The sequence below is a fragment of the Homo sapiens genome, chromosome 11, assembly GCF_000001405.40.
Source record: "Homo sapiens chromosome 11, GRCh38.p14 Primary Assembly".
In the NCBI taxonomy this organism is placed as follows: Eukaryota; Metazoa; Chordata; class Mammalia; order Primates; family Hominidae; genus Homo; species Homo sapiens.
In genome coordinates this window covers 71,475,392-71,500,725 of record NC_000011.10, presented here as the reverse complement: position 1 = coordinate 71,500,725, position 25,334 = coordinate 71,475,392, and the positions used below count along the sequence as shown (strand labels likewise).

The following is a 25,334-nucleotide window of genomic DNA, read 5'->3' as shown; positions in this document are numbered from 1 at the left end:
CCAGACCCTGTGACCCCTGCCCTCCCTTCCACCCTCTAAGTCACTCTTTGAGCAAGTTCCTTTCCACGGAAATCAGCCAGATACAGTATCTCTTCCTTACAACCATGCAGCCCCAAACGTCTTCTAGTCCCAAATGTTCAGCATTCCTCAACCTTGGCACCACCAACACGTGGAACAAAGAATTCTCTGCTGGGTGTGGGGTTGGGAGGGGCCCATCCTGCACACAGTAGGACATTCAGCAGCATCCCTGGGCTCCACCCACGGGATGCTGGGAGCACAGACCCCAGCCCAGTCATGATAACCAAAATCATCTCCAGTCATCGCCTAATGTCTCCTCGGGGGGTCAACGGTCCCAGATGTAGAACCCCTGCCACTGATCCACCCTCGTTTTACAGGCCACCTGCTCAGAGATGCTGTCACCGATCATGAGGTATAAAGCGGCATCTTGTGGCCTCTAGCTCAGCACAGGCGGGTTTTCCTCATGTCCTTAAGGAAGAGTTCAAGACATCTTCCTGATTAGAAGGTTACTACTCTGTGGTCATACAGCACCTGTGTGTGCCTCTGTTGTGCACTGATCACACTGTGCTATGGTCTCACAGGTGCTGGAAGGACACTAGGTGTCCTCTAGCTCAGTGTAGACTCCTCAGGATTTATCACTGTTTTTAATTTTTTTAATTTAAATTTTGTTTTGCGACAGGCTCTGGCTCTGTCACCTAGGCTGGAGTGCAGTGGCACGATCACAGCTCACTGCAGCCTCCATCTCCTTGGCTCAGGTGATTCTCCCTCCTCAGCCTCCCAAGTAGCTGGAACCACAGGTGTGCACCACCACGTTTGGCTAATTGTTGTATTTTTTGTAGAGATGGGGTTTTGCCATGCTGCCCAGGCTGGTCTCCAACTCCTGGGGTCAGGTGATCCTCTCAAAAGTGCTGGGATGGCAGGCGTGAGCCATTGCAGCCGGCCTCTGATTTATCATTGTTGACAGTGACTCACTGGCCGGCTCTCTCCTCTCGTCAGATGATCCCCTGCGCTAGGGAGGCCATGGCCAAGCTGCTCTGTCATGGCTCCCAAACTGGCTTTGGAAAAGGGAAGGGCCTATCCTTTTTCATTGATTGTATTGTCCTTTCTTGATTCTATTAATAATTAATTAGAAAAAGAAAAGGAAAGCAGGGTGGGTTGGAAGCCATGACGCCATCTGGATACCCTGGCTACTTAGAAACGACAGTGATTGTCACCATACTCATAGAGGGGTGTCCAGCTGCTAATTTTAGTTTATGTAATGCCAGCAAATAGAGCCTAGCCAAAAGGAGTGCATGCCAGACTCTAAACACACTCAGCAATTAGTGTAGCCATTGTGGAAGGCAGTGCAGAGATTCCTCCAAAGATTAAAAATAGAACTACCCTGCGATCCAGCCACCCCATTACCGGGTATAACTGACAGGAAATGAACTCATCTGCCGACGAGACATCTGCACGCCCGCGTTCACCACAGCGCCATTCCCAACAGCACAGCTGTGGAATCAGCCTGAGCGCGCACCGATGGATGAGTGGATAGAGAAAGTGCGGTGCACACACAGTGGAGAACTATGCAGCCTTAGGAAAGAAGGAAATTCTGCCATTTGCAACAATACGGATGAACCTACATGAACATCTTAAAGGGAAATAAGCCAGGCAGAGAAAGACAAATACCGCATGGTCTGATTCGTCTGTGGAATCTTGAAAAGGTGATCTTGTGGAAGCAGAGAGTGCGACGGTGGCTACCAGGGGCTGGTGGGTGGGGAGATTGTTGGTCAAAGGCCACAAAAGAAGTAAGTTCAACAGCTCCAGTGCATGACATGGTGACTGTAGTTAATATAGGAAAATTGCTAAGAGAGTAGATTTTAAGTGCTCTTACCACACACAAATAATAGGCGTGTGGGGTAAGGCACGCACATGTGAAATAGCTTGACTTAGCCATTCCACTGTGACACACATATCGAAATGTCATGTTGGACACCATCAATATATAGAATTTTTATTTGTCAACACGAAAAAAGTAAATTTAAAAAACGCTTTAAACATACTTGTCCCTTTGCAGAAAGGAGGACAGTAAAAAAGTTACTGTGTATATAAGAAAGTTTTTCAATCCTTCATGGAAATAACCTCACGTTTCTTCTACAGACATGAAACATGGAGAGAGAAACATTTCTGCTGGATTTACCTGATTTTCTATGCACCGAAACTGCCAAGGCCAGCTTGTGTTGTACAGAAATGGTCGCAGATCAAACCTGTTGTCCTCAGGGCTGTAGTTCTCGGCGTGGTACGCGGGTGTGAGCGTGGTCATCTTGTGTCTGTTCATGGAGTACTTGGAGAAAAACCGCTTCACTTTGTCAGCGACCTGGTGGGCGTGCAACACACGAGCTTCATGTTACCAAAACTGGAGAGACCCCAGGCCGGAATTCCCATGCTGGATCATACAAGCAAATGACTAATGGGTTACTCCCCGCACAGGACCTTCCACGATGGCAGGTGTGGGGGATGCCCGTGCTCAGGCCGGGGACACTGGCCGAGCTATGAAACCGGGGTCCCCCTGCCTCTGATGCTATGAAACCGGGGTCCCCCACCTCTGATGCTATGAAACTGGGGTCCCCCGCCTCTGATGCTATGAAACCGGGGTCCCCCTGCCTTTGATGCTGTGAAACTGGGGTCTCCCTGCCTCTGATGCTGTGGCATGCTGCCTTGGGAGATCTAAGATAAATCCTGCGAAGATTTATTTCACAAGGCTTCCAGGAGGTTCCATTGGACTACAATGCTTGTGGGCTTCAGCCCCAGCAAGACTCACAACAGGCAGAAAAGCAATACTATTCTGACCCTGAAGTTTACATTCTATCCTCAAAAAAAGGGAGGCTTGTTTCATGTCGTGTTTACCTGGCTGTGGGTGAGCCTCACTCAGATTAACTTTGGGCCAGCAGAAGATCAGAGTGGGTAAAAATAACTGAAAAGTGTTACTGTGTGAGATACAGTTTTATTACGTTAGGGTCACACTGTTATCTACTTGTTCCTACAGGTCAAACCGGCCTCTGCAAAGGGGACATTACCTAACTGGCCTCCCTCTGTGATGCGTCTCACAGGCTTTACCTGTCTCGGGGTGCAGATGTGTCTCCACATGCCGAGGAGTTTGCAGAACATGCTGTAGGGCCCCATCTTGGCCACCTTCCTGAGTTTCCCATAGACCGAGAGCTCCGCATATGTCATCCCCATATCTTCCTGTGCACAACAAAAATCTGTTCCATGATGACAGCAAGTCACAGCGGGGGGAGAGCCTAAAGCTTCTTTTGGAGATGGGAACCAGAGACCAAGGAGGCAATACTTTCCCAGAGAGGCAGGAGCAGAGGTGGGCTTTACTCCCCATTGCTAGTCAGCCAGTAAGGAGGTAGCATTTGGAAAACAGCAACGAAGAACCAGGCATTTGGTTTGGAGGACCGTAACGGGTGAACGGTGGCTCACCAAGGAGCGCTCATGTCTGAAGGCCCAGTTCCTGGGGATGTGACTTTATTTGGAAAAAGAGTGTAGGCTGGGCATAGTGGCTCACACTTGTAATCCCAGCACTTTGGGAGGCCGAGGTGGGAGGACTGCTTGAGCCCAGGGGTTTAAGGCCAGCCTGGGCAACATGGCAAGACCTTGTCTCTACAAAAAATAACAAACTAGCTGGGTGTGGTGGTGTGTGCACCTGCAGTCCCAGCTACTTGTGGGTGCTCAGGTGGGAGGATCACCTGAACCTGGGACATCAAGGCTGCAGTGAGCCGAGATTGCAGCTCTGCACTCCAGCCTGGGTGACAGAGCCAGACCCTGTCTCTAAAAAAAAGAAGAAGAAGAAAAGAGAAAAGGATAAAACGTCTTTGCAGATGTAATTAAGTAAAGAATCTGAAGGTGAGATGACTCTGAATGTGGGGTGGGCCCTGCATCCAATGACATCTCTTACGAGGGCCAGGAGGACACGTGGAGAAAGGGAGGAGGACACGTGGAGAAAGGGAGGAAACTGCGGGAAGAAGGAAGCAAAGGATGGAGTGATGCAGCCACAAGCCAAGGAACACCTGGAGTCCCCAGAAGACGCAAGAGGCAAGAAAGGATCCCCTAGAGCAGGGGTCACCAACCCCCAGGCCATGGATAGGTACTGGTCCCTGGCCTGTCAGGATCTGGATCCCAGAGCAGGAGGTGAGGGGAGGGGCGAGTGAGCATCACCGCCTGAACTCCGCCTCCCGTCAGATCCTCGGTGGCACAGATTCTCATAGGAGCGCGAGCCCTGTTGTGAACTGTGCAAGCGAGGGATCTAGGTTGCATGCTCCTTATGAGAATCTACCACCTGATGATCTGAGGTGGAACAGTTTCAACCCAAAGCCATCTCCAACCCTCTGTTTGTGGAAAACATTGTCTTCCACGAAACCAGTTCCTGGTGCCAAGAAGACTGGGGACCACTGCCCTAGAGCCTTCGGAGGGACCAGGACTCTGCCAACACCTTGATTTCAGACCCTGGCCTCTGGAACTGTGAGGGAAGCAATTCCTGTTGTTTTACGCCACTGGGTCATTAGTGACAGTAGCTCCACAAATCATCCATGGAAGGTGTGGCTCATGGAGCAGATGCAGCCTGTCTGCTGTCCTCCTGAGCCCGTGCCCTGAAGTGTGGGGGACTCAGAGAAGAAGAGGGCCGAGGGCTCACTGAAATCTGGGCCATGTTGGAGGCCACAGGGTGCCGCTGGTATCACTATCACAGCGCCAGGCAACAAATGCTTCAAGCCAGGCTCAGAGGAGCCGATTTTACCCCGAGGCTCATACAACCCAGGCCCTTTCCATTGTTCAAGATCTGCTCCCATTCCCTCTCATTCCTACCACACCCCAGGGCCATCATCAGACAGTATGGCCAGAGCCACCGCTGGGCCTTCTTGTCCGTCCCTCCAGGGGACGCTAAGTGTTTTCACTGCAGTGGCCACGTCTGTGTTGCTCACCACAGGGTCCCCAGCACCTGACGGGTTGCGCACAAGTGGCTGCTTGGCTGGTTTCTTTCCCATGAAGTGAGCATTTTCCAGTGTAACATTTAATTCCTTCAATTCAACAATAATAGCTGGAGACTTCAATACCCCACTTTCAATAATGGACAGAACAACTAAGATGAAAAATCAACAAGGAAACAGAAGATACGAACAACTCTGTCAACCAGGGAGACCTGGCACACACCTGCAGGGCACTGCACCCAGCGGCAGCGGAACCCACCTTCCTCCCAAGGGCACACGGGACGCTTCCCAGGTCAGACCATCTGCTGAGCCACGAGAGAAGCCTCAGACAACTTTAAATGTTGAAGTCATACAAAGTTGCTTTCTCACCACATTGGAATAAAAGTACAAATTCAGTAACAGAAATTTTGGAAATTCATGCATACGTGGAAATTAAAGAGCATACTCCTAAATAATCAATGGATCAAGGAGGAAGTCACCAAGGGAATCAGAAAATACTTTGATAAATGAAATGAAGACACAACAGACCAAAACATGTGGGAGGCACTGAATGCAGTGCTAGGAGGGAAATTTGTAGCTATAAACACCTACCTTAAAAAAGAAAAAAGATCTCAAATCAACAACCTAACTTTCCACCTTGAGATACTAGAAAAAGAAGAGCAAATGAAACCCAAAGCCAGCACGAGGAAGGAAATGACAGAGATCAGAGGGAAATTAATGAAAGACAATAGAGAAAATCAACAAAACAAAAAGTTATGCTTGGAAAGATTAAAAAAAAAAATTGACAAACCTTTAGCTAAAATGACCAAGAAAAAAGAGTGAAGACTCAACTAAAATCAGTAATGAAAGACAGACACCTTACAGACCTTATAGAAATCAATGGATTGGCCAGACGCGGTGGCTCACGCCTGTAGTCCCAGCACTTTGGGAGGCCGAGGTGGGTGGATCACCTGAGGTCGGGAGTTCGACACCAGCCTGACCAACATGGAAAAACCCCGTCTCTACTAAAAATACAAAATTAGCCAGGCGTGGAGGTGCATGTCTGTAAATCCCAGCTACTCGGGAGGCTGAGGCAGGAGAATTGCTTGCTTGAACCCGGGAGGCGGAGGTTTCAGTGAGCCGAGATCGCACCACTGCACTCCAGGCAGCCTTGGCAACAAGAGCAAAACTCCATCTCAGAAACAAAACAAAACAAAACAAAAGAAATTTTTGGATCATCAAGAAAGACAGGCGCGCATCACTGAATGACAGGGATACGTTCTGAGAAACACATAGACAGGCCACTGCGTCGTGTGAACATCCTCAAGGCACTTACACACATCCAGATGGTCTAGCCTCCTATGCACCTGTGCTCCATGGTACAGCCTGAGCTCCTAGGCTACACACGTGCACAGCATGTTGCTGTACTGAATACTCTGGGCCAGTCTAACATAATGCTAAGTATTTATGTATCTAAGTGTAGAAAAGGGACGATAAAAATACAGTAGAAAGGGTAAAAGATGGGACACCTGCATAGGGCACTTCCCAGGACTGGAGCTTGCAGGACTGGAAGCCGCTCTGGGTGAGTCAGGGAGTGAGGGGTGGGTGAATGGGAAGGCCTGGGATGCTACTGTGCTACTGTGGGCTTTCCAAGCACTGTAAACTTAGGCTACAGTCAATTAATACAAATATATTTTTCTTCCTTCAATAATAAATTAACCTTAGCTTATTGTAACTTTTATACCTTATAAACTTTTCTTGTTTTTGTTTGTTTTGTTGTTTGTATTTTTTTGGTAGAGACAGGGTTTCACCATGTTGGCCAGGCTGGTCTTGGAACTCCTGACCTCAGTGATTTGCCCACCTCAGCCTCCCAAAGTGCTGGGATTACAGGCGTGAGCCACCATGCTCAGCCTTACCTTATAAACTTTTTAATTAAAAAAAATTGTTTGACTCATATAATAACAGCTTAAAACACAAATACATTGTCAGCTGCCACACACAAGAATTAACTCAACTGGCTCACAGACCTAAACATAAGGACTAAAACTATAAAACTCTTGGAAGAAATTATAGGAGCAAATCCTTGTGACCTAAGGAAGTTGGAGGGTCACGGATCTAATTATAAAAATATTTTTTCTTATTCTATAAGCTTTTCTCTATTAAAAAAATGATTTTTTTTTTATTTTGCTTTTTAACATTTTTTGTTAAAAACTAGAACACAAACACATCCATCAGCCTGGGCCTGCCCTGGGTTAGGATCATCAGGCCTGGCAGAAATTCTCTCCAGCTGCGATGGCATGTCCTTGTAAATCGGAATCTTAAGGAGGTTACTAAAAAGCTCTGAGCACTAATACATGAGCTCAACAAGGTGCAGGGTATATGGTCAATATGCAAAAATCAACTGTGTTTCTCTATAAACTAGCAATGAACAATCTACACATGAAATTAATAAAACAATTCCACTCACCAGAGTATCAAAAACAATAAAATATTTTGAAATACATTTGGCAAAAGAAGTGCAACCTTAAATTCTGAGAACTAGAAAAAACACTGTTGAAAGACATTAGAGGCCGGGCTCAGTGGCTCACTCCTGTAATCCCAGCACTTTGGGAGGCCAAGGCGGGCGGGTTACTTGAGGCCAGGAGTCCGAGGCCTCATGTTCTGGCCAACATGGTGGAACCCCATCTCTACTACAAATACAAAAAACTTAGCGAGACATGGTGATGCACACCCATAATCCCAGCTACTCCGGAGGCTGAGGTAGGAGAATCGCTTGAGCCAGGGAGGTGGAGGTTGCAGTGAGCTGAGATTGTGCCACTGCAACTCCAGCCTGGGCAACAGAGTGAGACATTGTCTAAAAAAAAAAAAAAAAAATTTAGAGACAACTTAAATAAGTAAGACATTCCATGTCCCATGTTCATGGATCAGAAGAGTTCTTATGATTAAGATGGCGAAACTCCCCGAACTCCAAACTGATCTATAGTGTCATGCAGTCCCCGTCAAAACGCAAAAGCTTTTTTTTCTCCAGAGATTGACAAGCTGATCTCAAAATTCATATGGATGTTCAAGAGACTCAGAGTACCCAAAATCCTTCCTACAGAGTTATAATAATCAGGACAGCGTGGGACCGGCATAAGGAAAAACAGAAAAGATCTATGGAACAGAATTGAGTGTCCAGAAATAAATCCTACATTTACAACAAGGGTGCCAAGATACATCACTGGGGGAAAGGATCATCCTTTCAGCAAATGGTGCTGGGACCACTGGATATTCCCATGCAAAGGAATGAAACTGAAGCCCTTCCTCATACCACACACAAAAGTAACTCAACTAGATCACAGACCTAAATGTAAGGACGAAAACTAGAAAACGCTTGGAAGAAACTATAGCAGCAAGTCCTGGTGACCTAAGAGGCTGGAGTGTCATGGATTTTATCATAAAAAGCCCACAGCCACTTCCCCCAGCATCCACTAAGCTACCAACCACAGCCTGGGCCTCATCACGAAGGGCCAGCATGCAGTGGAGGAGTCGAGGGCAATTCTCCTCCTACATCGCTCTAAAACACGAGCAGAGATGCCCCTCCTGCCTGTGAGGAACTTGCGTTCCTCCGCCCGCCATCTGCTCTCCCTCCCCTCCCACCATGTCATCCTCTTTCTGGGGCGCCAACCATGAGGAAGTGAATTGAAGTGTCAAAGGCCAGGGATGTGACTGACACTGAGCCCTGGGCACCCAGGCCAGGGACCCAGTGACAGCGATGCAGCTGTCCTGGGGTCAGGAGGGAGGTAGGAAGAGCCAGCACCACCACACAGGAGGTGGGGAGGAGGGCAGGAAGCATCATGGCAAAGCCACCGCCATTACCTCGTCGGTCTGGGACACCTGTCCATCAGCCAAGGGCTCCAGCTCTGCGGTGGCCGGCGCCAACAGGATGCTGCAGCCAAAACACACAGAGGTCGGTCAGTGCAGCTGCGAGGGTGGTGTGAGCTCTGGGAGAGAATCCCCAGACTAAGTTTCCCGAGTACGCTGGTCCCGGCCACTCCGTTCACCGTGGGTAGGACGTCACCAAGGCTTGCGGTGCTGGGCTTTCCAGCGGGGGTGAGCATCCTGGGCTGAGGAGTGTGGGCACTGGTGTGGCCTCACGACCCCAGGAGGAGAGGCAGAGATGGAGGCACAGTGAAGGGCCAGTCCACTGGGCACCGGGCACACCTAGGTCGAGGGGACTCTGCTGTAGGGAATGTCAATGGCCTGTGCACTGCGCCACATTGAGGAGCACCCCTGGCCTCTACCTGCTAACACCCAGCACACCCCGTGTGGCGAAGCTAAGCATGTCTGCAGACGTTGCCTGATGTCCCCTGGGGGGCACAGTCACTCCAGTGAGGATAAGCAAAGAAGAAAACACATTCCCGTGGCAGGGAACCTCGGCAAAGGCCGAAGAAAGGTCCGGACACTGATCCATCTGCAGTCACTGCTAAAGCACAGGCGCTCTGCTCAGATGTGGCGAGCCTCGGCCTGCCAAGCATCGGCATGGGGACGGCAGGGAAGGGAGGCAGGGCAGGCGGGGGAGGCAGGAGGCCACAGCTCCGTGATCTGGCCGGAGCCGGGGGGCTGTGGAGGCACCACAGGAAGAAAGGGAGGCTTGGTTGCAGGCCTCAAGTGCCAGCTCAGGGGCAGGACCATTCAGCAGGCAACAGGAGCTACGAAGGAGCCTGAGTGTGGGCCAGGGTGGCCGGGGCCGTGCTGGGAGAGGAGCCCCGTGGCTGTGGAGCCACAGCCCGTGAGCACACTCACCTCTGCAGGGCAGGAAGCTGGAAGCGCTGGATGCAGAACTGGACGAAGGCCCTGAGGTCCGTCTTGCTGATCCCGCCTATGGGGTTGATGTCCGCACTGGAGCAGTCGTACTTGGTCAGGTAGCCCAGGAGACTGCAGGGAGAGGGAGAAAGAGCGCGGGTTCCCAAGGGGCCGCAGACTCCATCAACCCTGGCCAGCCAGGGAGTCGCTTCTTCCAGGGGCCCTGAAGCCAGAAGTGTGGCATATTCAAGCATCCCGGAGAAGTCCCAGAGCAACCCGCAAAGGTGGCAGAGGCTGCAGAGGACCCAGGAGGGCCTTTGAGTGCACCAGAGGAGACGCCGGGGATGGCAGGCAGATTTCGGGGGTCACCAGCACGGAGCTGGGAGCAGTCGTCTGAACAGAGCTGAGGGACAGAGGTCTTGGGGTGTCGGGAGTGAGCAGGGACTGGACACACGTGGACACTCTGCTGCCCGGGCGGCCGCGGGCCCCTCCCCTGCCTGTCAACTCTGAGGCCTGTGGTCGGCAGAAGAATCCATCTCTCACTAAGGTGCCCACGTCCTAATCCCCAGAACCTGTGACTCTGTCACCTCTCAGGGCCAAAGGGACTTTGCAGATGGACTCAGCTGGGGACTTGAGATGTGGGAGTGATGCTGGATTGCAGGGTGGGCCTGAAATGCAATCACAGGGGTCCTTAAAAGAAGGGGGTGAAAGTGAGAGTTGAGGGAGCCCTGACTGCAGGGGAAAGGCAGAGACGCGAGGCCGCTGGTGGTGAAGACGGAGGAGGCGTCGTGAGCCAAAGAAGGCGGGACTCCAGAGGCTGGAAATGGCGGGAAACAGATTCTCTCCAGGGTCTCCAGAAGGAACCCACTGTGTCCACACCTTCACTTGAGCCAGGGGACCCATACTGGACCTGTGTCCTACAGAACTGAGGGACCATAAATGTGTGTTGTTGAAGGCACAAACTTTGTGATCCTGGGTTACAGCCGTCCTTCTCCACCCCACCCCGCTGCCAACGCTGGTGCAGGCCTCCAGGTTCTCCACGGGACTCCTGGCTGACCACCCATCTCCTCCATACCAGGCCAGGCCAAGCCCTTCCACAGTCTGAATTCCCTCAATGGTGCCCTTGACCTTGCAAGGCCTTCCAGGCTGGCCCCTGCCTATCCCACCAGATGCATTTCTTGACACTCCCAAACTCACACCTCCGTGCCTTCTCACCCTTCCTGACCCTCACTGTGGTGCAATGTCGGGGGTGTAAGACCCCCAGGGTCCCAACAGAGGGACAGGTGAGACCCTGTGCTGCCTTCAGTGAGGGCTACCCCAGTCACCCCATCGCTCCCTGTCCTGTCCCGTCCAAAGCTCCTTCAGCAGGAGCTGGGATACGGGCCAGATGGGCCAGGGGAGATGACAGTCTCCATCTTAGCACTTTTTCTCTTCCATCCCCAGTAACTGCCAAGGACTGGGGAAATCCGCCGGGGCTGACTCAGAGAGCACAGTCTGGGGAAATCCCGCAGTGCAGAGCTCAGCTCAACCTGCGACCCGTGGGGCCAGGATGCTGCCTCATCTTGGTGGAAGGAAACTCCAGCCAGGAAGTGGGGACCATGGGGATGGGGAGGCACGGTTATAGGGGGAAAATTGAGGCAGACTTTTTCTGGTGAAATCAAGACTGAACTGGCGGACTGGTGAGACTTTGAAGCCAGCAACAAGTGTGGCCATAAATTTCAATACAGGACCACCGAGTTCCAGCAGCTGTCCCCTCCTCTCGCACTCTGCATGGACCTTTCCCCCAGGCTGGTCACTTCCATCAGCTGAAATCATGTTGTTAGAAGCCTAACTTCAACACAGCCTCTCAGCTCTGCATTCCCATGCTGACCCCAACTTAACCCTGCAGGGCTGGCTTCACTCTCCCCTCCCCTCCTGCTCTCTCTGGAACCTTCTCCTGGGCCTGCCTCTGAACCCACCCCTCCTGCTGCTGTGGGCGCGCTGGCCAGGCCCCCAGCAAAGCCACCCTCCTGCCTGGTCACCTGCTCTCATCTCCTCACCAGCAACATCCCCACTGTCCTGCACCAGCAAGTCCACTCCCTCTCTACTGGTCTTTTCTTGACAGTATCTTAAGGCAAATAAACAAATGGAGACCAGTCTGGGCAACAGAGTGGAAACAAAAAAAATTAGGCGTGGTGGTGCATGCCTACAGTCCCATCTACTTGGGAGGCTAAGGTGGGAGGATTGTTTGAGCCCAGGAGGTCAAGGCTGCAGTGAGCTGTGACGGTGCCACTGCACTCCAGCCTGGGTGACAGAGCAAGACCCTGTCTCTAATAATAAAGCAAACTCCTTTTCCTGTTCCCAGTGATCTCTGCAGCGCCTATCCTGCGCCTCCCCTCCCCTTCAAAGTGAAATTTCTGGAAACAGCTGTCTCTGACGTCTCACACCTCCCTCTGCCCGACACGCCGCACACTTTCCAAAACAGCTCTGCAGGTCTTCCAGTCCCCACTCAAGACCAGGCCTTTCAGGGAGACAATGATGGGCTCTCAGTCCTGGGGGAGTCATGACTCAGGGCTTCACGGGCTCTTCTCCACCCACCCTCGCCTCCCGCAGGCCTTTATGAAACCCACTTCTCAGTAGGGCCCTCCCTGGGCAAGCTGCTTACAAACTCCCAGCTCTCCCTTCCCCTCCTTGAGCTCTCTCGGCGGACGTTTCCTACAATACACATGTTATCTGCTGGGCTATCACTGTCTCCTCCCACTTGCAGAGAACAGGAATTGTTTCTGACTCATTCACACCACCGGGAAGAAAGCCTGAGGGAGGACAGGTGTCCAACAGGCCCCTGATGAGCAGACAGGGATGCGACTGAACTAGAATCAGAAGCAATTCAACAACAGAATTACAGGGAAATTTAAAAAAATCAACACTACACATTTGAGATTCTTGCCAGAACACAGAGGAAGAGAAGGACTGGCTGTGACCCGTGAGAAGAAGGCGGCAGAGGGAGATGCAGCATGGGAAACAGAGAGAAGGGCTTCAGTACTACATCATGAGGGGAGTGTCTGCAGCCACAGGGCCTTCTGTCCCGCAGTGAGAAAGGGGCAGCTGAGGGATTACGTTTACGTTTGCTTATTTTCTTTTCTTTTCTTTTTTTTTTTTTTTTTTTTGAGACGGAGTCTTGCTCTGTCGCCCAGGCTGGAGTGCAGTGGCGCGAACTCGGCTCACTGCCAGCTCCGCCTCCTGGGTTCATGCCATTCTCCTGCCTCAGCCTCCCAAGTAGCTGGGACTACAGGCACCTGCCACCACGCCCGGCTAATTTTTTGTATTTTTAGTAGAGACAGGGTTTCACCGTGTTAGCCAGGATGGTCTCGATCTCCTGACCTTGTGATCTGCCTGCCTCAGCCTCCCAAAGTGCTGGGATTACAGACGTGAGCCACTGTGCCCAGCCCGTTTGTTTATTTTCTAAATGGCATCTAGAGACCTTCCAGCTCCCAGAACCCAATCCCACCCTGGAAAAAAATACTTGTTTCTTTGTTAACATTTTAAATACTAGAAAATGATGGACAAGAGTTGTGAGGGGGAACTCTTACAACACAATTTTATAACAGATCAAATTCTTCCTCATCTACAAAAGCAATGCAGAGCCAAAGCAAACATCAATCTCCTCAACTACACCAGAGCTGAGAATATACACCAGCCGTCACACCCCTCCTGAAAAATCAGTCCCTTACAAAGGCACCAGAGGCACCAGAAAAGCAATGGTCAAAATATGCATGAGGAGGATGAGAATTTTTACACAGTATCAGGTGTTAATTTCAAATTTCTGTAATTAGAAAAATAAAATAGGACTTAAAAATAAAAAATCAGTTTTAAAAGAGAACACATCTGCAGACAGGCAAGGATGCAGAGTGATTAAGACACTCACACTCTTTGGGAGGCCAAGGTGGGCGGATCACGAGGTCAGGAGATGGAGACCATCCTGGCTAACACGGTGAAACACCGTCTCTACTAAAAATACAAAAAAATTAGCCAGGCGTGGTGATGGGCGCCTGTAGTCCCAGCTACTCGGGAGGCTGAGGCAGGAGAATGGCGTGAACCCGGGAGGCGGAACTTGCAGTGAGCCGAGATCGCGCCACTGCACTCCAGCCTGGGTGACAAAGCGAGACTCCATCTCAAAAAAAAAAAAAAAAAAAAAAAAAAAGACACTCACGCCATAGAAAAAAGGGAGGGATAGATGGATGGAAGGGAGGAAATGTGGACAGATGGGTCGATGGATGGACAAAGGGAGAGATGGGTGGATGGATGGGTTGGGTGGACAGATGAAATGGTGAATGAATACATGGATAGATGAGTGGATAGATGGACAGATGGGTGGATGGACAGACACATTGGTGGATAAATGGATAGATGGGTGGGTGGATGAATGCATGGATGGACAGGTGGGTGGAGGGATGTGTGGGTAGATGAATGGATGGATGAATGCATAGACAGATGGGTGAATGAATGGATGGATGAGTGGGTGAGTGGGTGGGTGGATGGACAGACAGATGGGTGGATGGGTGGATGGATGGATGAATGGATGGACAGACAGATGGGTGGATGAACGGACAGGTGAGTGGATATATGGATGGGTGGATACATAGATGGATAGATGAATGGACAGATGGATGGATGGGTGGATAGATGGATGGCCCAACTGATGGATGGATAGATGGATGCATAGACAAACAAATGAATAAATCACAAATAGTTTTTGAAATCCCTCAGCTCCTAAGGAGCAACTAAGAACAGCACAGACGAGCTGAGAGGGATAGAGGCTCACCTAAGGGAAGTGGGGAAACCAAGGCTGGAAAAGAATTTCTAGCAGCCTCCACTGCTGGACTTGAGGGGCAGCTTGAATTTTATCCAGAAAACAACAGGGAGGCTCTGAGTTTTGTTGAACAAGGAAGCAATATGAGAAGGGGAGTATTTTCAGTCCACATAAAAAATGAACTCTGGTTTGGAGGTAAAAACTAGCTGCAAAGGAATGACTTAAGACACAGTGGAACAGCCTAGAAGAAAGAGGGGAGCCTGACCATGGCAGAGGGCGGTGGGAAGATGAATTTGAGGCGCAGTAGAGATGAAGAACCACAAGGCTGATGAAAGTGGTGAGCGCCCAGAGCCACCTGCAGGAACGTGATGCTGATCCGCTCTGCCACTCGGGTTGGGTGAAATTCTAGAGGAATGATGTCATTCCAGGCACCAAACCCGCCATGAAAGGCACAGGATGATAGAATCTCACAGCGTATCACCTTCAGAGACCTGAGAGGTTCAGGGGCCCACCACCACGTGCCACTGGGCCACACTCACCTCTCATCCACGTTGGCGGATCCCAGCACGAGGAGCCCACCGTGGACACCCCGAGACCAGAGGCTCAACTGAGCAAACAGATAGGCGAGGACCATCCGTATTCGAGCCTGGAAAACACAACAGAGGAAATAACGGGTTCCCTTGCAAAGGAACACGGGGGAGACGCACACCCACAAACTCTTGAAAACAAGAAAATTAAAATAGCTTAGGAGCTCTCTAGCGTTCGGGGAACATCAGAGTCTCAGAGTCCCACAGTGTCCCGAGGCCTTCCTCTCGGGGTGGTCCCACCTCCACAGGGCTCACACAAGCTCAGTGGTGCCTTGCCTTCAAAGATGGGAGCACCCAGAGCCCGGGAGGGCAGAGGGAGCACTGGTGGCAGGACTGAGCCGTGGGGTCCCTGGGAGAAAGCTTGGCAACTGCATTTCCATCCCTTTACCACTGGCAGGAGGGGAGAGGCCACCCAGGCACAGCAGAAAGGGGACAGAGAGAGACAGGACAGATCCCAGCAGCTGGAGCCCCCGGCCTCTCTTTTCCTCTGCCCATCACGGAGCAGTCAGTCAAGTGCAGTAGCTCAGGAGGCAGACAGCGTCTGGGCTGTTCCCTGAGGATTAAAGAGACACACACTCACACACAGTCATGTGCACTCTCACACTCATGCACACCCACCCACCCACATGCTCACAGGCATGCTCGTGCACTCATGCAGACGCACTCATGCACACAACTGTGCACTCACGTTTGTGCACACTCACACATCCACACTCACACTTGCTTTTGCACAAGCACTCACAAGCACACCCACACTTGTGCATACATTCACACACTTGTACTCTCATACACTCATGTAACCTCTCACGCTCAGGCTCACACTCAGGCTCAGACACACCCTCTTGCTCTTGCACTCAGGCTCATGCACACACTCGAGCACGCACATCCTTACACCCCCGCTCTTGCTCTTACACATCACATGCTCATGCACCAACACACACACAGACCCCCTCCTTGTTAACAAGGCTGCATGACCGACGTCTTCAGTGAGGCATACAGGCTGTGACCCCAGCACTGGCTGTCCCTAGGTAACCGGTGCCATGAGCTTCATGGAGACGATGGCCCAGGTGGGGGCACCTGCACATCCTGTAGTGATTGTCCCAGTGCTCCCTGCACCCCCACCCCCAGGGGACGCCGGCCCAGGCGGGGGCACCTGCACATTTTGCAGCGCCAGGTTTTCCCTGCTGCTTCCTCCATGAGCTGCAAACAGAGGGCTCTTCCCCGTCACCAGGCTGAAGATGCCCATGACGGCCTTCACGGCTGGATCGATGTTGAGACTGATGTGGTGGCTGGAAGGAGAAGGATAGGCGTTGAAGGCAGCATGTGCACGTGTGTGCATGTGTGTGCGCATGAGCGGTGAAGCCCTGATGACCTAAAACTGACCATTGTAACCCATTTAAAGCGTATGATTTGTGGTGTTTAGCAATCCACAGTGCTGCGCAGCCATCACCACCATCTAGCTCAGAACTTCCCATCACCAGAGAAGGGAACCCCATCCCACTGGCAGTCTGTCCCCACTCCCTCCTCCTCCAGCTCTGACAGCTCTGACAGTGACAGATGCAGAGAGTGACAGACACCCTCTCTCTCTATGCCATGGCCTGTTCTGGACATTGCGTGGAAATGGAATGGAAATGGAATCAAACACCATGTGGCCTGGTGTGGCTGGCTCCACTCCCTTCATCCGCACCATGTCTTCAAGGTTTCTCCTCACTGTGTCATGTGATCATGCTCCACTCCTCTTCGTGGGTGACTAATATTCCACCGTGTGAATGGACCACAGTTTCTTCCTCCGTTCATCTGAGATGGACCTTGGGTTGTCCCTGCCTCTTGGCTTCTGTGAATGGTGCTGCTATGGACTTTCCTGAACAAGTATCTGTTCGGGTCCCTGTTTCTGATTCCTCTGAGTACATATCTAGGAGGAGAATCACTGGAGGGCATGGGGACAGCTTTTAGCTGAGCTCAACAAACAGGATGGGGAGCTGCTCATTTTCTCCTAGGAGCCATTATGGATGGAATATTCTAGATAGAACCCAGTCTTTCTTCTCCGGAAAGGTGCCCTCCTTCCACTGTCCTCACATAGAGAACTGCCCGTGGAAGAGGCAGTGAGGGCAGGGGAAGAGAAAGGAGGAGGGGTAGGAGCCAGCCTGCAGCCAACTCCCAGGACCTGCTGCACACCCTGGTGAGCACATACGACCTGCAGCCTGCACTGGGAATGCCAGGAGTGAGGGGACAGAAGGGCAGAAATTGCAGGCACCATCTGAGACTGGGGTGGGTCAGATAGGGAGGACTCACACACAGCTTCCCTGAAATCTGGCTCAAACCAAGAGAAAGTGGAGCCCTGATAAGCTCCTAGGTGCACATTTAAGCAATTGCTGATGACAGGAGAAACAAACTGGTCTATCCGTACAGTGGAATATTATTCACCCACAAAAAGGGATGGAGCACTTACACGTTTATCCACATAGTGGATGACACGATGCGGAATGAATGAAGCCAGTCACCAATGCACTCACAGGCGGAGCTTCCAGTGACTCTGAGCTCTGTCAGCCACCTGCCATGCCCAATACCAGGGACCAACTCTACCTTCCAATCTGCTGGGCCAACTCTCTGGCCCGGGTGCACGTCTCCTGGGAGGAGTTCTTGCTGGCCATGTAGCAGGTGGTCAGTATGCGTCCACAGAGGTCTCGGGGATCCTGGGGGGTGTAGCTGATCTGGTTCACGATGGTGCGGACATCAGCCAGCACTTCCTCATCTGAAAACCACCAGGACAGAATGGGTGGAAGTCACCTGAGTGTGTGGGATGTTTACATAGTTCCACCCCGGTCTACACCCCCAGGTGCCCATGCGGCTCCACCCCGGTCTACACCCCCAGGTGCCTGTGCGGCTCCACCCCGGTCTACACCCCCAGGTGCCTGTGCGGCTCCACCCCAGTCTACACCCCCAGGTGCCTGTGCGGCTCCACCCCGGTCTACACCCCCAGGTGCCCGTGTGACTCCACCCCGGTCTACACCCCCAGGTGCCCATGCAGCTGCACCCCAGTCTACGGCCCCCAGGCGCCCATGCGGCTCCACCCCGGTCTACACCCCCAGGTGCCTGTGCGGCTGCACCCCGGTCTACAGCCCTCAGGTGCCCGTACGGCTGCACCCCGGTCTACACCCCCAGGTGCCTGTGCAGCGCCAGCCCAGGCTATGGCCCACAGCCCCATCCATCGGGCATCATCACCGCTGTTCTGCTGCATATGCTAAGGTGATGTCTGATACTATATCACATGGGGGAGGATGTGAACCTCCGACGCCTGTGTTCTCCCCACCAGGCCACACCGTGCACAGAGCAGGCAGGTACAGCTCTGGAGACTCAGCCACATGGGCCCGAAGCCCCAGGAAGCTACTGATGGCCTTGCTGCCTTAGCTGCAGGACTGGGATGTGATGCTGTGACATTTGTGCGTGGCCACAAAGCCCCCTTCACCCCGATGTCCATGGCACGGGTGTTTCCTCTGCCCCCTCCTAGGTCCCTAACTCAGGCAGCCCAAGGGCTGGACCCTGGAGCCTCCCTCAAGCCAACAGATGTCACCTACTTCCACTCCTCACGGCCTCGCAGACCTGGCAGCACATGGAGTAGATGAGGCAGGCGGTGGCTGCGCTGTCCACCCCGCCACTCAAGGGCAGCAAAAACCCTGCCTGGAATGGACCAATCAGACAGCGTGAGCAGAGCCTCGGAGAAGCAGCATGCCCATGGATCAGCCAAGCTCCACCCATAGACCTCAAGGAGGCGTCCACAGAAATGCACGTGGGTGTTAGCACTTTCCATGGGGTCAGGACAAATACCCGCACGTGGCAGGATGAATGGATTTTTCAGAGGGAAAAAAGACACTTCACTGCGGGGCGTGTCAGAGGCTGACTCCACCGACGAACTGCAGATACGCATGATTACAATGCTGGCAAGATGGTGAGCGTGACCCTGAATGCTGATGGGCTGGGTTCCGCTGAGCCTCCAAAGGTGGAGCTGACCCACCAGCCACTGTGCCCACCTTGCCTCTGGCTAGCACAGACTAAGCTCCCCATGGAGGCAGAGTGATGAAATGCTTTTTGTTGTTTGCACTAAAAAAAAAAAAAAAAATCCCTACCCTGCCCCAGAATAAAACCAGACCAACCAGCAGAACAAGCAAAGTGGGCTCACTAGAAACTGGAAGTCTTACCTGTTGACTTCGTCTTAAAAAATCCCAGAGCCAGCAGGCAGGTCCAAGGCTGCAGGGCAATCAGAACATGGAGCCCGGAGGCGGTGGCCCCTGCCCACAGCACCCAACAACCCACCCAAGCAGGCCCCAGGAGGCTGCAGTGCCAGAGTCAACGCTGGGCTCTCAGGACGCCCGTCTCTGCTTTAGGCACCTCGTGAGAAGGGACACATGTGATTCTGAAGACAGACCCAGGACGTGGGTATTATCATCGTCCTCATTTTAAAATGGGGACACTGAACCACAGAATGGACGGACAGCACCTTGGGGCCCAAGGTCACAGCACGGGGAAGCAGCAGGGCTGGGGGTCACACCCAGGGGTTCTGGCTCTAGCATCCACGCCCTCAACCCAGGGGATGCACAGTTGCCTTCTGCAAGTCCCCACCCAGGCAGGTTCTGAAAACCCACTGCGTGACCTCCAGGAGTCCCCACCCCAGGGGCGTGGCCACACAGACGCCAGGTCCCTCCCAGGGGTCAGGGGCCACACACCTTATCTCCTCCTCAGGGCTGTGGTATTTCCACTCGATGGGCTCAGAGATGGGTGCCAGCAAGTCCTCGTGGCACGAGAGGGCAAAGTCCACCTTCACTCTGGGGTAGGGGCTCGCCCTGCTGGCCTGGCAATGGAGATTCAAGACAGAATGACTCCCAGCTTCACGGAAACCCTCTGGGTCCCCAGGACCGACAGACAAGCAGGACTCCATCAGCCACAGAAACGCATGTCAAAACCACAGTGAGGCCACCCTCACTCCCACGAGGATGGCGAGAAGCAAAGCGACCAATGGCAACAGGTGCTGGTGAGGGGTGAGAAACCGGGATTCTCAAACCTGGCTGCCTGGAAACTACCATGGTGCAGCTGTGTGGCAAACGCTCTGGCAGCTCCTCAAAGGCTAAACAGAGCCAGGCACGGTGGCTCACACCTGTAATCCCAGCACTTTGGGAGGCTGAGGCAGGTGGATCACCTGAGGTCAGGAGTTCGAGACCAGCCAGACCAATATGATGAAACCCTGTCTCTACTAAAATTACAAAAATTAGCCGGGCATGGTGGTGGAAGCCTGTAATCCCAGCTACTAGGGAGGCTGAGACCGGAGACTCACTTGAATCTACGAGGCAGAGGTTGTGCTGAGCTGGGATTGCGCCATTGTACTCCAGCCTATGGTAGTTCACAGCAAGGGTGAAACTCCGTCTCAAAAAACAAACAAAAAACCAAAAAGCAAAAAACAGTTAACAGAGTTACCATAAGACCCAGCCAATTCCACTCCTGGATAGACACACCCAAGAGAAATGAAAACATGTGTCCCCTCCAACAGAAGTACATGTATGTTTGTAGCAGAATTGTTAATGATAGACAGAAAGTGGAAACATTCCCGATGCCCATCAGTGGAAGAGTGAATGAACACGTGTCCATCCCCGCTACGGAACACTCTCTGACCATACAAAGGGATAAGCTACAGCCACTCCCTGTGTCTGTGGGTTCTACACCCGCAGATTCAACTGCACACAGACAGAAGATACAGTAATCACAGGATCTGAAGCCCATGGATACAGAGGGCCGACTCTTCATATCAGTGAGTTTTGCAGGGGGCACTGTGGGACACAGGCATCCCTGCAGGGGATCGGTGCAGGCTCCTGGGTCCAATCCCTGTGGATACCAAGGGGTGGCTGCACCCAACACATAGATAAACCTTGACAACAGCACAGTAAAGTGTGGAAGCCATACACTGTGTGATTTCATCCCAATGAAACGTCGAGAATAGGCAAATCCATGAAGACAGACAGTAGACTTGTGGTTGCCAGGACCGGAGGAGGGGAACGGGGTGCATAATGGGTACAGTTTCTTTTTGGGGTAATGAAAATGCGCTAAGATTGTGGCTGCATAACTCCATGAGTACATGAAAAACCACTGAATCAGGTGCTTAAATGGATACATTGGGTGGTATGGCAAATACAACTTAATAAAACTGCTATGAAAAAAAGGCTGGGCACGGTAGTTCACGCCTGTAATTCCAACACTTTGGGAGGCCGAGGCAAGAGGATTGCTTTAGCCCAGGAGTTCAAGACCATCCTAGGCAACATAGTGAGACTCTGTCTCTAAAAAAAAAAAAAAATTAAAAAAAATCAAAAATTAGTTGGGCATGGTGGTGTGTGTCTGTTGTCTCAGCTACTCAGGAGGCTGAGGTGGGAGGATCACTTGAGCCCCAGAGGTCCAGGCTGCGGTGAGCTGTGATGGTACCACTGCACTCAAGCCTGGGCGATGGAATGAGACCCTGTCTCAATCAATCAACAGCAGAAGAGTCCGCTCTGTTATGAGCATCACACTTCTTCAATGTTTGCAAAAATCACTGTCTCATGACAGCTGCTCAGTTGGACATCCTATTTGTGACGATGTCCTGCAGAAACGCAGAGCTCCAGGTTACCAGCAGCAGGACCTCGGGCTGCAGGAGGGGCGTTACTTGCATCCCAGGGTCTCAGACACAGGCTCACTTGTGCCTTGGACCTTGCCTCCAACTGCCGAAGTGGGGACCAGCCTCGGCTGCACACTGTGTGCCTGTTCCTACCACGCTTGCCACCCCTCACCTTGAGGCCTTCCTGGGCTCCAAGGCTGCTTGGGTCTTCCTTGTGTGGCAGCCCCTAGCACGCTGACTGTCTCGTCAGCCTCTCTGCCTGCCTGTCCCCAGCTCACCCCAGCTCAGGGCCTGGCCCAAGCAGAGGATGACGGGGAACAGATGGAAGCAGGTTCTGTCTGCGGCACCAGCCCCTTTCCACGCTCGGGAAGTCCGGAACTTCCCTGTCAGACTTTTCAGGCACTGCACCCTCACGGCCTCCACCAGGCCCGCACGAATGGGGCCACTTTCCACGTCTTTGATGAGCATCCCACACAGGTGTCTACTGGAGCACTCACCGCCAGGTTTCGAGATGAAATCTCCGCCCTGTAGCTCCGGACGTCCTCCAGATCCAGCGTGGCCGTCAGGACTTCCTGGAGAAGGAAATTTCAAAGAGAACCCGTGATTTCCCGTTTGTTCAACTCCCACGTGTAATTTGGCCACTGTCAAAGGTGTTGTCACACCTTCTAAAGCAGGGGCTGAGACCCTGGATTCCTGGAGGCCCAGGGATGGGGCAGATGACATTGAGGCGGACCCATAGCCCTTCCCCGTCACTGTTGCCACCGGAACCTCCACTTCATTCAGACACTTGCCAGTGACCCACTAATCACAGCACAAGACACCACCCTGTCAATAAGACACACCCCGTCAGTAAGACACACCCCTGTCAGTAAGACACCCCTGTCAGTAAGACACCCCCATGTCAGTAAGACACCCCCATGTCAGTAAGACACACCCCTGTCAGTAAGACACCCCAGTGTCAGTAAGCCTCTGCCAGCGACTTCTGGGAACACCCCTCTCATCAAAAAGACACGCAAGGAGCCAAGGCCACTTTGCTGCCTCTGCATGTGGCTGTGTGAAGATGGGATGGCTGGAGCTGGGGCAAACATCCCATGCCCACGAGGAGAGGCAATCTGAGACAGGCCAACACAGAGGAGGGCGGAGCTGGAGAAGCAACCTGAGACTGAGGCCAACACAAAGGAGGATGGAGCTGGGGGAGGGCAGAGGCGGAGCCGCAGCCCCGGCATCCACACCAGGGTCTTGGCCTGGACGTGCTGCCTGTGTCACAGGAGGTGACACTGCCCTGCCTTTGAACCCGGCTATGGTAGGGGTTCTGCCAATTGCGGTATATGCAGAAATGAGGTTTTAACTCATAGGGGTTATTCCTTCATGAAAAAATATCTTTATCAAATTGTGTTCCTGAGTGTTGCCTTGCTAAACACGAGTGTGGGACAGCGGGAACAGCACCTGCACCACTGCGGCGGTTCACAGGATGGCCGTGGCCACCTTGCGCGCCCCTTGCTCCTACCGCCGTAACAGGGGGCCATACCTGGCCGGAGATGCCCATGAAGACAAGGAGACCGATTCACGCATCCTGTGGTTCTCTGGCTGCTTCCCAAAGTGACAGCACCCTGGCCACCAAGCTTCCATGCAGAAAGCCACGGTCCGTGTGAAGCCATAAAACAATGGAGATGAGGGAAGGCGAGGATCGTTCCATGAGAAGGTGGCTCCATCCCACTCTCCCCGAGGCTAGGTTAACAGCCTGCCGCACGGCGGCCTGACTCCAGGCACACGACAAGCCGGAAAGCCCAGGGGATTAGGAAGACCCTGAGAAACGCGGGCCCGACGGGGGTGATCGGCAGGTCTGTTGCTTGAGCAGGAGGCAGAAGGGGTGACTCTGAAATGATTCCACGTGTCACAAGACTTCTGTTGACCATTTCAGGTGCACCACGGAGGACCTGGTGGAGGGCAGTGGCCCGAGCCTGAGGACAGCGCGGCCACTCTGAATACAGCAGGCCTGTGGCCACAGCCTACGACGGAGCTCTCAGGCAACATCAGGAACTCTAGAGACGTGTAAGGCAACGGCTCCCGGATTCTAATGCACGAAACAACTGCCTGGTGCTCACTAAATATACAGACCCCCGAGGACTCCGATTTGGTGGCTTGATGTGGGGCCGGGAACCTGCGGGGGTCCTGGGGCAGGTGATTGATTGCCAACACACCTGCCAATCAACACGACCACCAATGTGCCTGTGGCTCTGACGTGAACGGGGAGAGGACCACACTTCCCATCAGCAGGAACTTAATCCTTCTCTTCAAAGCCCTTCCAGCTCTGTCGCGGTTAATGATGAAGCGCAAGGAGGCCTCTGGGGACACTGTCATGTGGAAAGCAGGGCCTGGAGTCGAGACGGCCACACCCTTGCCTGCCCCCGTGCAAGAAACCCCTGAAAAGACCGTGGAATTCTTGTTCAGGGTGAAGTTCACTTGGTCCACTATGAAACTGGTTTGGTTTTGTAACCGCCTCCGTGCTGACCACACCTATGCTGTGCAGAAAGCACCAGACAGAATCATGAGGATGGGAACGCAGCGGGAGCAAAGCAATGAACTGCTCAGACAGCCTCGCAGAGTCGGCGACGCCAGGACACAAGCTCGCCCTGCTCCTGCAAAGCCAGCTGCAGAACTCGCCTCCGGTGCTACCGCCTGCCTCGGTGAATCCGCTGCTTTAATGCCCATTCCCAACAAGAGCAGAGTGGAAGGCCGTCGGGTCCAAAGACGAGTCAGGCAATGCTGTGTGTGGGAGGCAGTGCTGTGGACCCGCGTGTGGTCTGAGCCCGAGAGTGGAGACGCTCCCACCCACGCCGGCTTGGGGCAGAACTAAAAGTTACTTTTTGTTGTATTTGTGCACTTGGGATTTGTTTCCATTTGTGGCAATAATAGCCCATTTTTTCTTGTTTGCTTCAAAAACAGAAAGAGAGGCCGGGTGCGGTGGCTCACACCTGTAATCCCAGCACTTTGGGAGGCTGAGGTGCGTGGATTGCCTGAGCTCAGGAGTTTGCGACCAGCCGGGGCAACACAGTGAAACCCTGTCTCTACTAAGTAAATACAAAAAAATTAGCTGGGCATGGCAGCATGGGTCTGTAGTCCCAGCTACTTGGGAGGCTGAGGCAGAATTGCTTTAACATGGGGCGGAGGTTGCAGCGAGCCAAGATTGCGCCACTGCACTCCAGCCTGGGTGACAGAGCAAGACTCCATCTCAAAAACAAACAAACAACCGAAAGGGAGAGTGGCCCAAACCTCCCCAAGGACTTTCCAACTGTGGTCCCTTCTCTGTGGAGGAAGTTTGCCTCCATGGCGATAACGATTACCTGGGAAGCCTTGCCCTGTGCTAATGCGCATCTTTAGCCGCAGAATGTGCAGAGCTTTCATCAGCTTCCCAAAGGAATCTGGGGCCCCAACAAGGTCCTGAACCCCATTCCAAGCGGCAGCTCAGTTGCTGGTGAGGAATGTGCCAAGCAGGGTTCTTAGCTTTGTTCTCTGTCATCTCCTTCCTCGGAGCACCCACATATCTGTGTCGCTTCGGGATAGCAATGGCGCTT

General features: G+C 52.7%; 1 protein-coding gene across 1 annotated transcript in view, besides 6 other annotated features; it reads right to left on the bottom strand.

Annotated features, from left to right (window-relative positions):
- Positions 1 to 25,334, bottom strand: part of NADSYN1 (NAD synthetase 1) — a 48,614-nt gene that overhangs the window by 1,091 nt on the left and 22,189 nt on the right. Inside the window, exons 10-20 of the mRNA NM_018161.5 lie at positions 22,257 to 22,331; positions 19,847 to 19,971; positions 19,322 to 19,370; positions 18,701 to 18,803; positions 17,709 to 17,877; positions 16,279 to 16,414; positions 15,078 to 15,184; positions 9,750 to 9,881; positions 8,823 to 8,892; positions 3,115 to 3,243; positions 2,198 to 2,374 (exon numbers count right to left, since the gene is read on the bottom strand). Coding sequence (NP_060631.2) covers positions 2,198 to 2,374; positions 3,115 to 3,243; positions 8,823 to 8,892; positions 9,750 to 9,881; positions 15,078 to 15,184; positions 16,279 to 16,414; positions 17,709 to 17,877; positions 18,701 to 18,803; positions 19,322 to 19,370; positions 19,847 to 19,971; positions 22,257 to 22,331 — 1,272 coding nt within the window. The remainder of the gene's footprint in view (positions 1 to 2,197; positions 2,375 to 3,114; positions 3,244 to 8,822; positions 8,893 to 9,749; positions 9,882 to 15,077; positions 15,185 to 16,278; positions 16,415 to 17,708; positions 17,878 to 18,700; positions 18,804 to 19,321; positions 19,371 to 19,846; positions 19,972 to 22,256; positions 22,332 to 25,334) is intronic.
- Positions 12,014 to 12,784: an enhancer, noted in NCBI's record as "NANOG-H3K27ac-H3K4me1 hESC enhancer chr11:71198988-71199758 (GRCh37/hg19 assembly coordinates)". NCBI's record gives its function as "activates a minimal SCP1, AML or CMV promoter by ChIP-STARR-seq in naive H9 embryonic stem cells {active_cell/tissue: H9 hESC(naive)}" and the evidence as "EXISTENCE:reporter gene assay evidence [ECO:0000049][PMID:30033119]".
- Positions 15,072 to 15,572: an enhancer, noted in NCBI's record as "H3K4me1 hESC enhancer chr11:71196200-71196700 (GRCh37/hg19 assembly coordinates)". NCBI's record gives its function as "activates a minimal SCP1, AML or CMV promoter by ChIP-STARR-seq in primed H9 embryonic stem cells {active_cell/tissue: H9 hESC(primed)}" and the evidence as "EXISTENCE:reporter gene assay evidence [ECO:0000049][PMID:30033119]".
- Positions 19,784 to 20,309: an enhancer, noted in NCBI's record as "H3K27ac-H3K4me1 hESC enhancer chr11:71191463-71191988 (GRCh37/hg19 assembly coordinates)". NCBI's record gives its function as "activates a minimal SCP1, AML or CMV promoter by ChIP-STARR-seq in naive H9 embryonic stem cells {active_cell/tissue: H9 hESC(naive)}" and the evidence as "EXISTENCE:reporter gene assay evidence [ECO:0000049][PMID:30033119]".
- Positions 22,310 to 22,889: an enhancer, noted in NCBI's record as "H3K4me1 hESC enhancer chr11:71188883-71189462 (GRCh37/hg19 assembly coordinates)". NCBI's record gives its function as "activates a minimal SCP1, AML or CMV promoter by ChIP-STARR-seq in naive H9 embryonic stem cells {active_cell/tissue: H9 hESC(naive)}" and the evidence as "EXISTENCE:reporter gene assay evidence [ECO:0000049][PMID:30033119]".
- Positions 22,890 to 23,469: an enhancer, noted in NCBI's record as "H3K4me1 hESC enhancer chr11:71188303-71188882 (GRCh37/hg19 assembly coordinates)". NCBI's record gives its function as "activates a minimal SCP1, AML or CMV promoter by ChIP-STARR-seq in primed H9 embryonic stem cells {active_cell/tissue: H9 hESC(primed)}" and the evidence as "EXISTENCE:reporter gene assay evidence [ECO:0000049][PMID:30033119]".
- Positions 23,470 to 24,049: an enhancer, noted in NCBI's record as "H3K4me1 hESC enhancer chr11:71187723-71188302 (GRCh37/hg19 assembly coordinates)". NCBI's record gives its function as "activates a minimal SCP1, AML or CMV promoter by ChIP-STARR-seq in primed H9 embryonic stem cells {active_cell/tissue: H9 hESC(primed)}" and the evidence as "EXISTENCE:reporter gene assay evidence [ECO:0000049][PMID:30033119]".